At 39.4% G+C, this 13732-nt stretch overlaps 1 protein-coding gene across 4 annotated transcripts in view, besides 3 other annotated features; it reads right to left on the bottom strand.

The window, feature by feature from the left end:
- Positions 2523–2572: an enhancer, noted in NCBI's record as "active region_26958". NCBI's record gives its function as "activates an Ori minimal core promoter by ATAC-STARR-seq in GM12878 lymphoblastoid cells {active_cell/tissue: GM12878}" and the evidence as "EXISTENCE:reporter gene assay evidence [ECO:0000049][PMID:35858748]".
- The window catches only part of AGPAT5 (1-acylglycerol-3-phosphate O-acyltransferase 5), a 52862-nt gene continuing 44092 nt past the window's right edge, over positions 4963–13732 (bottom strand). For 3 of the 4 annotated variants that reach the window (XM_047421939.1, NM_018361.5, XM_047421938.1), the window contains 2 exons: positions 11292–11415; positions 4963–9303 (listed from right to left, as the gene is read on the bottom strand). In XM_047421939.1, the coding sequence (XP_047277895.1) occupies positions 9078–9303; positions 11292–11415 (350 nt within the window). In that variant the 3' untranslated portion in view covers positions 4963–9077. Of the gene's footprint in view, positions 9304–11291; positions 11416–13732 lie in introns of those variants that run through there. The other variant, XM_047421940.1, reaches the window with a different exon arrangement.
- Positions 11361–11860: an enhancer, noted in NCBI's record as "H3K4me1 hESC enhancer chr8:6612127-6612626 (GRCh37/hg19 assembly coordinates)". NCBI's record gives its function as "activates a minimal SCP1, AML or CMV promoter by ChIP-STARR-seq in primed H9 embryonic stem cells {active_cell/tissue: H9 hESC(primed)}" and the evidence as "EXISTENCE:reporter gene assay evidence [ECO:0000049][PMID:30033119]".
- Positions 11861–12362: an enhancer, noted in NCBI's record as "H3K4me1 hESC enhancer chr8:6611625-6612126 (GRCh37/hg19 assembly coordinates)". NCBI's record gives its function as "activates a minimal SCP1, AML or CMV promoter by ChIP-STARR-seq in primed H9 embryonic stem cells {active_cell/tissue: H9 hESC(primed)}" and the evidence as "EXISTENCE:reporter gene assay evidence [ECO:0000049][PMID:30033119]".

Below are 13732 nucleotides of genomic sequence, written 5' to 3'. Positions count from 1 at the left end.
ATTGTGCTTTTTCTTGAACTCCAAGAATTCCTGGAATATTCTTTGAAATCGTAACTTCCATATCATTTATTAAATGTTTATTGATTATGCCATTTACTTTTTAAAATAATCTATTGACTTCGGACTATAAAATTCAAACACAATTGCTTTAGAAAATCTTCAGGTGGGCCGGGGGCGGTGACTCACGCATGTAATCCCAGCACTTTGGGAGGCCGAGGCGGGCGGATCACGAGGTCAGGAGATGGAGACCATCCTGGCCAACATAGGGAAACCCCGTCTCTACTAAAAATACGAAAAAATTAGCCGGGCGTGGTGGCGGGCCTCTGTAGTCCCAGCTCCTCTGGAGGCTGAGGCAGGAGAATGGCGTGAACCCGGGTGGCGGAGCTTGAGGTGAGCCGAGATCGCGCCACTGCACTCCAGCCTGGGCGACAGAGAGAGACTCCGCCTCAAAAATATAAAATAAAATAAAATAAATAAAATAAATAAAATGAAATAAAATAAAATAATCTTCAGGTGATACTTAATGATATAACTATGATTGAGGTAACCCTAAAATGTTATCTCAAATTATGCCTACTGAATCAGTTAAACAAACTGTTGCTGATTGCCTAATCAGTGCCAGGAATCACGGCAGTTTTGAGACACAAAGGTTGGGGTGAAAGTTCCTCGCCTTTAAGTCATCTTGTACATCAGGTCTGCCCTGTGGAGATATAATGCCATATAGCGAATATTAAACCTTCTAGTAGCCACATTAAAAAAAGGTCAAATTAATTTTAATATAGTTTATTGAGGACAATATGTCCAAAATATCACTCAAATATGTAATCAACATGAAGATTAATGAACTATTTTATTTTTTGTACTTATTTTTCCAAGTCTGGCATTGTACACTAACTTCTCTGATTTCAAGGACTCTATAGCCACATGGGGCTCCGGCTGCCCTACTAGGAAGTGCTGATGTGGAGGGTGGGTTTGTGGCTCACAGGTCCTAACAGAGCAACTGGGGAAGCTGTTGGCTGCATTGCCTTGAGCTCAGTGGTAATGGACGTTGGGGGTGGGGAGGGTGTTGAGCGGGTGAAGATAGAGGGGAAGCAGATGGAGGTGGATGAAGAAACCACCAAGTAGACTTGCTTAGAGAGACAGGTGGTAGGGGTGGTTGAAGATACCCCCAGGCATTGGGCCCAGGTGGCTGGCACAACACCGGGGAACAGCATGCAGAATGAAACTGTAGGATGGGAAGGTCTTTAGCAGCCACGTCCCAGGGGACGCTGCAGTCCAGAAAGAAGAGACCCACTGCTACATACTTGGGACCCGACCGCAACTCTAGATCTCCTGACCCTCAGAACAATGTCGTTGTTCACTGTACCACTCTGAGGCCAAGCTCAGTTTAAGTTCTATTGCCAGTTTTATGTCAGACTGGAGCTGCCAGTCAAGTCATAAAATACACCAGGAACCAAAATCTATCCACGAGCCAGTGAGAGTGGGTGCAGGAATAAAAACCATGTTGGAGAGAACAGAGCCAGAAATTACCAGGTACTTAGACACATGGAGGCATACTTTATATTGGATTTATTTCTAATCTCATTATCTTTCATTTATGTCAACTTCTAGAAACAGAAAGAGGGGAGGAGATATGGAAACAAAAAGGATAAAGATGTTAGTACACAAGAAGAGGGGGTACATCGTTTATGGGTTTTTTTTGTATACTTCATTTTACTTGAAAATGTCTATTTTGCATTTGTTACATGCCCTATTAGAGCAACATACCAAAAACCTAAAATGTAACAAAGTTATTAGCTCTAGTATAAGGCAGAATGCCCTTATGGACGTGTGTGTGTGTGTATGTGTGTGTGTGTGTGTGTGTGTGTAACAAAAGTTGCTAACATTTGCGCACTCAGAATGTGACAGGCACTAATCCAAGTGCTTCACATAGATGATTTCGCTTAATTCTCACAAGCCTGTGAGGTAGGTTCCATCACTGTTATTTTCATTCTGTATTTCAGGACATTGAGGCACAGAGATTAAGAAACTGACTACAAGGCCCGGCACGGTGGCTCATGCCTGTAATCCCAACACTTTGGGAGGCTGAGGCAGGTGGATCACTTGAGGCCAGGAGTTTGAGACAAGACTGGCCAATATGGCAAAACCCCATCTCGACTAAAAAATACAAAAATTAGCCAGGCGTGGTGCCGCACGCCTATAATCCCAGCTACTTGGGAGGCTGAGGCAAGAGAATGGCTTGAACCCAGGAGGTGGAGTTTGCAGTGAGTCGAGATCACGCCACTGCACTCCAGCAAGGGCAACAGATCGAAACTCTGTCTGAAAAAATAAAAATAAAAAATAAAAAACTGACCACAGTCCCTTGCTGACCAGTGGCAGGGCAGGGCAGGGACTCAAACCGAAGTGTCCTGGCTCTAGAATCCATGCCCGTAAGCCCGGCTCTCCATCTACTCCCAGCCACTCCTCCCCAATCTCCTTCCCAAACAAGAAACACTGATACACAGAATGAGTTATGAAGAACCTTGTGTTTTGATCATCTGGACAACAGAAAGCCCCTGTTTTAAGAGAAACACAGTGTGTTACTGATGGTGTCATCAGTGACGTGGCCCTGATGTGCCGCCATGCTCCAGCTCAACTACACCGGAGCAGCAACTGTTTTCACCCTTCTGGATTCAGCTAAGAATCACCGACCATCGAGAACCAGCTAACACCGAATGCATCAGAAAGAGCCAACTTCCACATAGATCCCTTCCTGGGCATATGCTTAGGGGCTCTGCCAAAACCTGAACAAGGCACATGGTAGAGATGACACAGCTCGGGTGCCTGTGCAGTAACGTGTCCTCACAGGAAGTGGTGATGCCTTGCTTTCATTCCCTACTATATCTTTGGCTTCACTACAGTCTTTGTGAAGCTTTCTTCACACCATACACAGGAACCTCTGGAAATAACTGTGCTAAGCTAAGCCCCTAGCACAGCGCCTAACACAGAGCAGGAATTCAAATTTGTGAAGTGAGTGCACAGCTCTCGCTGCCGTTTTAGAACACCTTGGGAACACTACCTTAATCCCAACCTCAGAAATCTTTAAGGAAGATAGCTATTAACTTCTTTCTCATTTTCTACTAGATGACCAAATTCCAACGATCACAATTCTATATTGAAAATTATTTCACAGTAAAACCAAATCAACCAAGGCAAGGAAACAATAACATCATAACATACGTATGGTATTTTACTGATGTATTCATTCATTCCAGGACACATCTCCCAGCTTCTACTTACATTTGCTAAACAGTTTGACACAGAAATTCTTTAGTTCTAGTTCTCTTCAACTGATATTTAATTTGAAAGTGTTCTTTAAGAATCCAAATACATTGGGCCAGGCGCGGTGGCTCGCGCCTGTAATCCCAGCACTTTGGGAGGCCAAGGCGGGTGGATCATCTGAGGTCAGGATTTCGAGACCAGCCTGGCCAACATGGCGAAACCCCGTCTCTACTAAAAATACAAAAAATTAGCCAGGTGTGGTGGAACACGCCTGTAATCCCAAATACTTGGGAGGCTGAGGCAGGATAATTGCTTGAACCAGGGAAATGGAGGTTGCAGTGAGCCGAGATTGAGCCACTGTACTCCAGTCTGGGCAACAGAGCAACACTCCGTCTTAAAAAAAAAAAAAAAAAAGAATCTAAATACATCAGTTCTCTGATCTAAGCCAGGTTCTTTCCTCATCTTTGTTTCCATTATATAAACAAATGATCTCTCACAGTAGTTACTGCTATTTTCCACTCTAGCCAATGATAAAACATGGGGATGGCAGCGGTGGGTGGGAATTCCGGCTTTTCTCCACCATCTTCTCTGCAATAAACTGAAAGACCTTATAAAAGATGGGTGCAGTTGAGGAAAAAGAATAAAGGTGGTCATGGGCAAATGAAAACTGGTTAATTGTCCGAAAACTATCAAGAACTGACCTGTGACCCAGACAGAAAGTAACTCTGCATGTCTCAACAGAGCACAGTATACACGAGCTTGAATAACCAGAAAGATGTTTAGCAACAAATCCTCCTCACAATCATGTGTTGAGTTCCAAAACACTTCAGAAAATAATGGACAATTACTTATTCACACATTTTAGACAGCAAATAAAACTGAATTGGTTTAGCAAGAATAATAATCTCTCACATTGGTGTTAAAATTATATAAGAATGTATTTTTATACCTAGAATCTCAAACTAGTGAGAGTCATTTCCCTGAACTCTTTGAAGTAAATACATATTCTCCCCTCTTTACAGGTAAGGGAAAGCTCAAACAGGAGAGGAATTTTTTTTTTTTTTTTTTTTTTAATACGGAGTCTCGCTCTTGTCGCCCAGGCTGGAGTGCAATGACGCCATCTTGGCTCACTGCAACCTCCGCCTGCAGGATTCAAATGATTCTCCTGCCTCATCCTCCCAAGTAGCTGGGATTACAGGTGCCTGCCACCACACGCCTGGCTAATTTTTGTATTTTTAGTAGAGACAGGGTTTCACCACGTTGGCCAGGCTGGTCTCAAACTCCTGACCTCAAGTGATCCACTTGCCTCGGCCTCCCAAACTGCTGGGATTACAGGCGTGAGCCACCGCGCCCGGCAGGAAATTTATTTAAAGTTATGCATGTAGTGACACAGCACCAACTCTTTTAGAGTCTGGGATTTACCTTGATAAGGTAACTGTTGGTACAAACTATCCAAAACCTGGCAGTATGCTTGCAGATGCATTACTTTTAGTGGTCAAGCTACGCTGTGGCATGGGGTTTGTGATGACAGTGAGATGAGATGATGCCCGCAAGAGGCTTAGTGCACTGCTTGTTTACTATCACTACAAACTGAACCTTTAAAATATGACGTAGTATTTAATAGCCGTATTTGGCAATACAACATATATACACAACATGTAAACTTTATCACATATACAAGAAATAACTTTTTATCACCAATTTTTGAGATGCATATTTTCCTTTATTGCTGAATTAATGAGGCACCAATAATCTCAAAAACACAAGTCAGACTTTATTCTGAAAATACCATAAAGAGACAAAAAGAGTTAGTCAAGTATTCTTGCCTGCTGGAGACACAGAATTTCAATAGCACCTTTTTTAAAAAAAGACATGAACATTTATAAAATTGCAGAACATATCTTACATATTCACATATAAAATCATGAACCAATAATAATCCGGATGGAAAAACTGATCTGTTTCATCAACATCAATAAACATTTTGTTGAGAGTTTGTTCCACATATTATACTTCCCTCAGTATATTAGAAGTACTTCAGCTTTCTATTTGAAGTGGTTTTCCTAAAAATAACCTTTTCCCCTGCTCAGGATAACCAGCTATTATTATAGTATACATATTATAATAACAAGGTATATGTCTTTGACCTCATATATGACTCCCCAGTTGCTACAGGAATAGATTTACTTTTCATACACAAATTGGAAAAGATGTCAAATATTGATGATAGTATCGAAGAGTTGTAGCTACTCTAAACTGAGTAAATTAGCGATTGTACAGACGAGCACTTCATAATAGTTGAAGGTTTTAAATTCAGTTAATTACATGAATATTTGACAAGTATGTGAATGTTGTAAATATTTTGACCAAAGTACTAATTTTGATTCTAATGATTGCATGTTACATAGTCTCTATATAATGTCAATTATACTAAGTGATAACGTAATTTCAAGTTCTTTAATCAAAAAGTGTGAGTTACTCGTAATGAAAACTGGCCCAAAAGGAGGGAGAAAAAATCTTGTTTATAAAGCAAGCCATGCAAAACTACAACGACATTGCATTGTAGCTTTCCACCAGATACGGAATATCTGCCAAGAAAATATTTCACTCAATCTTCAATCTAAACACTACTAAAAACAAATTAAGGTTAAAATTATTTTACTATGCGCTTGCAATTATACACACAAAATACTGCTTTGGTAGACATTTCTCTCTCTTTTCACATTTTTTGTGGTACATATCTGGGAGTTACTGTGTGTCTATAATAAGCAAATTTTATATTTCTATATTTCCTTTTCATTTTCTAAGAGTTGGGGTCTCGTGCTGTTACCTAGGCTGTAGTGCAGTGGTATGTCCATGGCTCACTGCAATCTCAACCTCCTGGGCTGAAGCGATCCTCCCACCTCACCCTCCCGAGTAGCTGGGACAAACTACTCAGTGTACGCCACCATGCCTGGCTAATTTTTTTTAATTTTTTTGTAGACAGGTTCTCGATATGTTGCCCAGGCTGGTCTTGAACTTGGCCTTATTTCCTTCTATCTATGATCAGTCTAGTTAGATCACTTGATTGACACAGACCTATTCAAAGAATATAATTATGAACAAAGGAAAAAATAAAGCTTATGTAACCCATATTAAGCAAAATTGTTGCCACTCTAAATTTTAAAAATCACATGGAAATGAAACATATGAAAAACTATCAGTATGTATGGTGTAAGAGTTAGCCAGATCGGCACTTTTATTCACCAACTTAGTTAATTTAAGGCATTTGACATGTTTCACTGAGATCACTTAATGATTACAGAATTGCCAAGCAAATTAACATCGGCCATGCATCTTATAAATTGCAGATGAATTTATATAACCAAACTAATATACTGCTTAACAGTTTTGATTATTTTAGTGTATTTTTTTAAAACTTTGCTCAAAGCTTAGGGAAAAATATTGTGAAGAATGCAGGGCCAGTCATTAAGCCTATTTTATGTACTGGGAGACTGTTGGTGAATTTTAGGGTCAAAAAATGTTAAACAGCACAGCCATTAGAGACAGTGAAAGATTTTATTTTTTTTTTTACTTTCATCCAAACACACCCTTTTCTGAAAAACATAAAAGCATGCACATCGACGGCATTCTTATAAAGAAAAATTAATAACTAAGCTGTAAATCAGTAATAATACAAACAAAAGTTTAAATGATATGTGAAAAGACTTACAGGTAGGTATACGGCTCTTAATTTTAGAAAATAATTCAAGTCAGTATCAATACAGGTTAAGGAGAAGCTTCTAATTTTCCAAACATTTTGATACAAAATTTTTTTCAACGACTGTATTTTATAGACCTTTTGTGAGAAGATTAGTATAGTTCTATGAAACCTAACATTCAAGTGATCTTATGCAGGTCAGGCTACCTTGTTAAAATGAGTTAGAATCCACATAATTCCAACAGTATTGCCTCTCAAAGTTCAAATTTAGAACATACCCATTATATTCAAAATATATTAAATCCCTGTACTTAACAAAGACATGGAATTGATCTAAATTTTACTTTACAGGTAAGAGAAAATTACAATTCAGCATGAGGAAATTTTCATAAGTTTTACCCATGCCCCGATTATTAGGCCAACTATATCCTGAGTGTCCATGGATGTGTGCATACATTCTAATGTACACAAACCAATTCACACCACACGACTCTTCAAAGATGATGCTTGAAAGAGTTTATTCTCTGGCATGGGAGAAGCAGTGTAACACAGTCACTTAATTTTCCCTTAATCATTATTTCTTTCATTTTGCTTATCATGATCCAACTGGTATGTTTAATGTGGGCCACTGATATATTTCTGCAGCAAAAATCCAGTAGCAGTAAGCAGAAATGTCAACTTAAAGGACTATGAGGAAATCGAAGTTTAAATTATAACACAAAAATAGAACAGTTCACACTGAAAGGTCTTCTCCCATGGGATATATTGTTCCATGGCTAAAAATCGTGATCTGGTTCCTGGAACACAGCTCTTGCTCTAAGGCGATACATATTAATGTGTAGCTCCACTAAACCTAATGGGAAATAAACAAATTCGTTCAGTCATGACAAATTAAGTCTGTATTTCACTGGCTTGAGAAGGTGAACTTCTTGACACAGACAAATGCAAAATGCCTCTGCAGTAGCTGGTGAAGCCCACTCACAAGGGCTTAAAGAGTTCAACTCTGAAAGTGGGCAGCACAGGCTGGCTCTGCATTTCTTCCTAGCAAGTCTGCGTGCAAGCCGCTGAGCAGCACCACTGACGGGATCCAAGGGAAGGACCAGAGCCCAGTGGGAATCCACCACACTACAGAAACGCGACTTCTGAATGAATATTCTGTGAAATCAAAGAGAAGCAGGCAAAAGGCACACGCTAGTAAATCTAGGCAGAATGTCTGCAGGCTCTCATCACCTTAAAAATCTTGTGAACTTGGGGTCCAACCAAGGTTCACACCGACTCTTTTGATATTAAAAAAACAAAACAAAACAGAAAACCTTAACGTTTTCAAGCACTTATGGCACAGACAAAGGGAAGTACTAATAGTGTAGCTTAAATCTTCAAAAAGCTGGGAAATTTAAAGTTCTGCTATAATGAATCAGAGTCACAATTTTAAACTTCGTTCTCATATTTTATACCATTTTCTGTGTGTACAGGGTGTGCAAATTAAGCAATTTCAATAAATATTAGAAATTTATTTTGCAAATATAAAATGAGTAAAATCAGCTAATAACGCAATACAATAAAATCATGTGCTAAACAGAGCTTTTTCCCCATGAACACTTTTTACCCTTTCCTTTGAACATCCTGACACTTCCTAAATACAATTTATTTCACTGACTTGTAGAAATAAGCAAAAGATGAAATATTAACTAGCTGCAAGATACTAAATACTTTAGTAATAAGAGCTTGGAGCTGTCAAGTTGTAATAAATTGAAAATAACAGAAAAAGTGAAATACGCTGCAAATTAATGCTCAAAAATGCAGCCATCTGACTTGCAAAATACACAATCCTCCCAGCCTTCTCAAGTTGTCATTAGTTCATAGGAAATGGACAGAGCAGGAGAAACTCCATTTAGCTTTTACCCTTCCAGCAGCCCCGATGCTAAAGTTGTACAACCAGGTATGTTTGCCCAAGACCATTGCATATCAGCTTTCGTCACAAATTCTATTATCCAATCTTCAATCAACAAGGCTTTATTTACACTCCTTAATAAATTCAGGAAACAATTTGATGTCATGTGCAGCCGCCAAAAATAGACAATGTAGCACATCCCACTGTCTGGAGACAGCTACTTGTCTATGCTTTAATAGTAACCCACAGGCAGCCAAGTAGGGTTCCATATATCCAGGTGTTCACATACAGCTTCCTTCCAGCATCGGTCATAAGCATGCCTGCAGTCAAACCACTTAAGATCAACATTGATGGTAAAGTCTTCTTGATACTTAATTTGGAATTAACACTTTTCCCAGGAAATCTTTTTCTTCTTTCTGGATCTGGTGACTCATAAAATTCTATAAGCATCCTATGGCCAGAATGGAAAAAGTTTAGATTTTAGTCACTTCAGTATTTCAATTCAAAAAATATCAATCAGGTAGCTATTACACGCTGGAAAAGTTATGCAGGTCCCTGGAAAATAAGGATGAATACGGAAACATCCAGAAACTTGGTTTAATAGAAGTTTCTAGTCTTCTAAAATATCTTTAATATGCTCTATGATTAGTATACATGAATTGTATATGTAATATTTCAACAGGTGGTTTTAAGGCATTTTATGAGGATGCTTTTTGTCTTTTAAACTTTTGATAAAGTTTTACAGTGACCTGACTCACAAATGGCTAATAACCCGCTGCAGCTTCTCCTCCTTTTTACATGGAGCTCCTATTCCGCCAGAAGTCAAAGATAGGACCAGCGGTTCTTAGACAGCGGTCCCTCTGTATCGACAGGGGGCTGGTCCCAGGATACCCGGCAGAGACCAAGATCAAAGGATGCTCAAGTCCCTGATATATGAATAAAATGGCATGTATTTGAATATAACATATGCATATCCTCCCAAATCCTTTTTTTTTTTTTTTTTTGAAAAAAGGCACTCTGTTACCAGGCTGGAGTTGGCACAATGATAGCTCACTGCAGTCTCAACCTTCCAGGCTCAGGTGATCCTCGCACCTCGGCCTCCTGAGTAGCTGGGACTACAGGTGCACGCCTGGCTAATTTTTGTATTTTCTGTAGAGACAGGGTTTTGCCATGTTGCCCAGGCTGTCTTGAACTTCTGGGCTCAAGCAATTTGCCTGCCTTAGCCTCCCAAAGTGCTGGGATTACATGCATGAGCCACCACAGCCAGCCCCCTTTTTTTCTGAGTATTTTTGGTCTGTGCTTGGTGGAATCCATGAATGTGGAATCCATGGATATGGACTGCTCACTGCACCTGGGCTGTCTCAAAAACGCCTTTATTCCCACAGAATTAGAAAGGCAGGTAAAAGAAGGAAAACAGCATAGTTAACTCATTTTCCCATATTACATAAGATTTGTAAAGTTATGATAGCAGAACATACCCGATATAATAATCTAAAACACAAACAGAAAGGGAAAGCGCTTCTATTGCTTTATAAATCACACACCCTAGCAATAATCATTGTTTTAAAATGTCCAGAGGTATTCTAAATACTTATAAAATAAGTAGGACATTAAATACATTAGTCTTTTTTCTGAGAACATATTTTCATGTCAATACATGTAGATCTTACTTTTAAATTTCTTCCATGGGCCAAAGTGGTCCTGAATGGCTCGCTGAATACATTACATCATGTACAGTTAAGAGTCAATGAAAAATAGAAGCTTAAAGTTTCATTGTTAACCTATTACACTTTTAATCATTTTCACCTGGTAAAGTTAACCCAGGAGGGTTAATTAAAAACACTGTACTGTAAAACAAGGAAAAGAAGAACAATGATAGTTTCTTGAGCAGAAAGTACATATTTAGAGAATAAAACAATTGGCTAAAATTTCTGAATATAATTAACCACAGAAGACACTTTGGATATAACGCTGTCAACTGCCCCCTTCTATTTCCAACAAATATAACAGCATCATGTCCACCTGCACGTCCGCATAGTCCTCTACCCCTCCCTTGCTTTTCTGCGCACACTGGCCCAACAGCCAGACCTCACACAGTAACACCACTTTATGTGACCTGACAGGTAGGTCCGGGCATCTGACACTGGAAAGTTTTTTTGTGTGTTTGTTGTTGTTTTTAATTTAATTTGCTATGTTATCACGTAGTATTGTCCAAGAAATACTATCAATGCAAGTAGATGGGCCCACTGTAACAAGTTCTTTTAGACTGATTTGTACAAGTAAAGTTTAAAACACGATCAGACATGCATAAAATTTGATTTGAATTTATAAAATGTATTCTTGAGACAATATAACCATTTACATTGGTTTCAAATTGTTGACTATACTGAAATCTAGTTGAACCGAAGTTCCGGAAGTGCTGGAACTGTTGTTACTCACTTATCTTTGATTTCGAAACGTTCATGCAGCCATCTTCTCATATGTTCTTGTTCTTCTGGGACATCTTTTTTGTCGATACGATCAATGTGAATATGAATTTTTGGACATTCTTTGCAGAGAAATTCTAACAAAGAACAAAAATAATTCTTTTTTTTTACTATTTTAGAACTCATGGTCATATAAAGTAAAAATGAAAATAAGGTAACAGGACAAAAAAAGTTGTAAAATGAAGAAAAAGTACAGATTCCTTAGGAAAAATAAACAAAAGTTAAAAAAAAAGGATTATAAACTGGTGGTTGGGGGTTTCAAGCTGAAGTAGAAGAGCATGTTATAATTTCTAAGTCAACTACAATTACATAAGTCATTAAGTTAAATCAATAGTACCAAATGTTATTTTTCATGTGACAACTTTTAGTGCTATAGACAGCCCAGGAATAGGAAGCTGGAGCCTCCTCTAAGTCCATACTCACCTCTCTGAAGGGACCCGCAAATGCCTACCACCACCAGCCCCATCCTAGTGTGTCACCTGTCACCATGGTGACTGCTGCCTCCCCACCAGACTGCGAGCTCCACAGGGGCCGAGAGGAAGCTGGTCTGGCTCACGATGGCACCTCCTGACCTGGCACACAGCTGGGCACTCACAGGCGCCTGATAATCCTCAACTTTGCTTGTCGCCTGACACACAGCTTCTCGTCACTGACTGCTACACAGCCACAACAAACTTGGGGGAGCAATTGCCCCTCCTCTCTAACTTGGCCATTGGTTTCTAATCATTGCCACTCCTTGCTTTCCTGATACTTGCCATATTTTAACATATTATATAATTGGTAAAAGAACCAAAATTATTACTGTGGAATAGCCATGAGCCCTGTAAACAACTGTAGTTTCTAAGACTTGCTTATTTGAAAAAAGGAGACAGTCTTTTTCAGCCTCGATTGCACAAGGTATGAGGCTATTATTTATTCCAAGAAAGAACGGAGACTAGAAACTCCCTTCTTTGTAGGGGGCTCCCTGTGGACAGGTAAGAATGTTAACATATTTAAGTTCCTTGAAGAACAAAGAAATATTCCTAAGATTTAAGAGCTGACTAAGGTAGGGAGGTATGCCGAGTGGGAGGCTGAGACCTTTGGCCTCAAATTGAAAATGCGTTCAAAGACGTGTTCTGAGAAATGATGAATTCTACACTCCACCGTCCGAGGAAGACTTGTCTTTGCTCCTTCAACCCCACACACTTCCCGTTTTTGCTAAGTACTCTCTGCAACTGCTCTTCTTGACTTCAGTGTCGAGCTCTTAGTAACATGCAGCATTTAGGTGATCAAAAATACCCTGTATTCTTACACACTTCCAGGAGTAAACTGGCTTTAATAATACATGTGCAAAACACTAAAATAAAGATTTTAATTTTTCATTATTTTTGTCTTAATTTTCCTACAGTACTATCATCTGAATAATCAAAGAACTGCTTAAAAAGTATTTTTAGCAGCACAACTGTGCCCTAGGGAAGAGCACACATGGTGGAGTCAGGTAGCCTGGATCTCCACCTCTGGGGTAACCTTGGACAACTGTCCGCCTCTCTGTGCCTAAGGGTGCAAGTCTATAAAGTAGGGATAATAATAATAGAAGATTTCAAGCACCTACAGGAGTGCTTGGCACACAGTATGCACTATGTGTTAGCTATTATAGTGTTTTAGCCACAAATTACTTCTCACCCTATCTTATTTCTATTTCTGACACATAAAAAGACAGATTCCGACACCAATTTTCCTGCCTTCACTGAATTATCTAGATCTCCACCTCAACATTTCCATAATTAAGTAATCACCTGGTCAACACTGCAGATACCCGGTATTTCAAGTGCTGGCATACAGATTGTAAGGAAGATGGAACAGACTGCATTTCGAATGTCAGAAATAGAATGCTTCGTGGAGTACAGTGCTCAGGACGTGGCAGGGCCTCTACTAAGACGTCAGCTTTGGAAGAAGAGGCAGTGCTGCTGAGACAAAAGCACTCCGAAATGTGCATGGGTCCTTTTGTTTTTCCTAAAACGTACATGTGCTCAGAATGTGTTTACGGCATGCTTTTGAGTATGTTAATTATTTCATTTGATCTCTGCAATTCTACGCAGGCAGGGGCTGTTATTATCTCCTTGTAAGATGAAGAAACTAAGTCTCAGAGACGACCAAGGCCCAGCGTAGCCATGGTGGGGCTATAACAGCCAAGTCCCTAAGGTTCAGGACCCAGGTAGGGACAATGAGAGGAGCATGCGACAAAGTGGAAAGCAGTTCAATGTCAAATGCCATTTAGGAGGTTCTAACACTGAAGGGAGGAAATAAGTGGTATAAATACTTCCTATAGGTTTAATAAAGTACTTATATATCCACATTTGCAAAAACTATCTTAGTTGAAGGATAGTTCATGTTACATGAGTAAAAATCACCCTA

This window comes from Homo sapiens, chromosome 8 (genome assembly GCF_000001405.40).
Source record: "Homo sapiens chromosome 8, GRCh38.p14 Primary Assembly".
Classification (NCBI taxonomy): domain Eukaryota; kingdom Metazoa; phylum Chordata; class Mammalia; order Primates; family Hominidae; genus Homo; species Homo sapiens.
The sequence above is the reverse complement of the archived record's forward strand: the minus strand, read 5'-3'. Positions and strand labels throughout refer to the sequence as shown.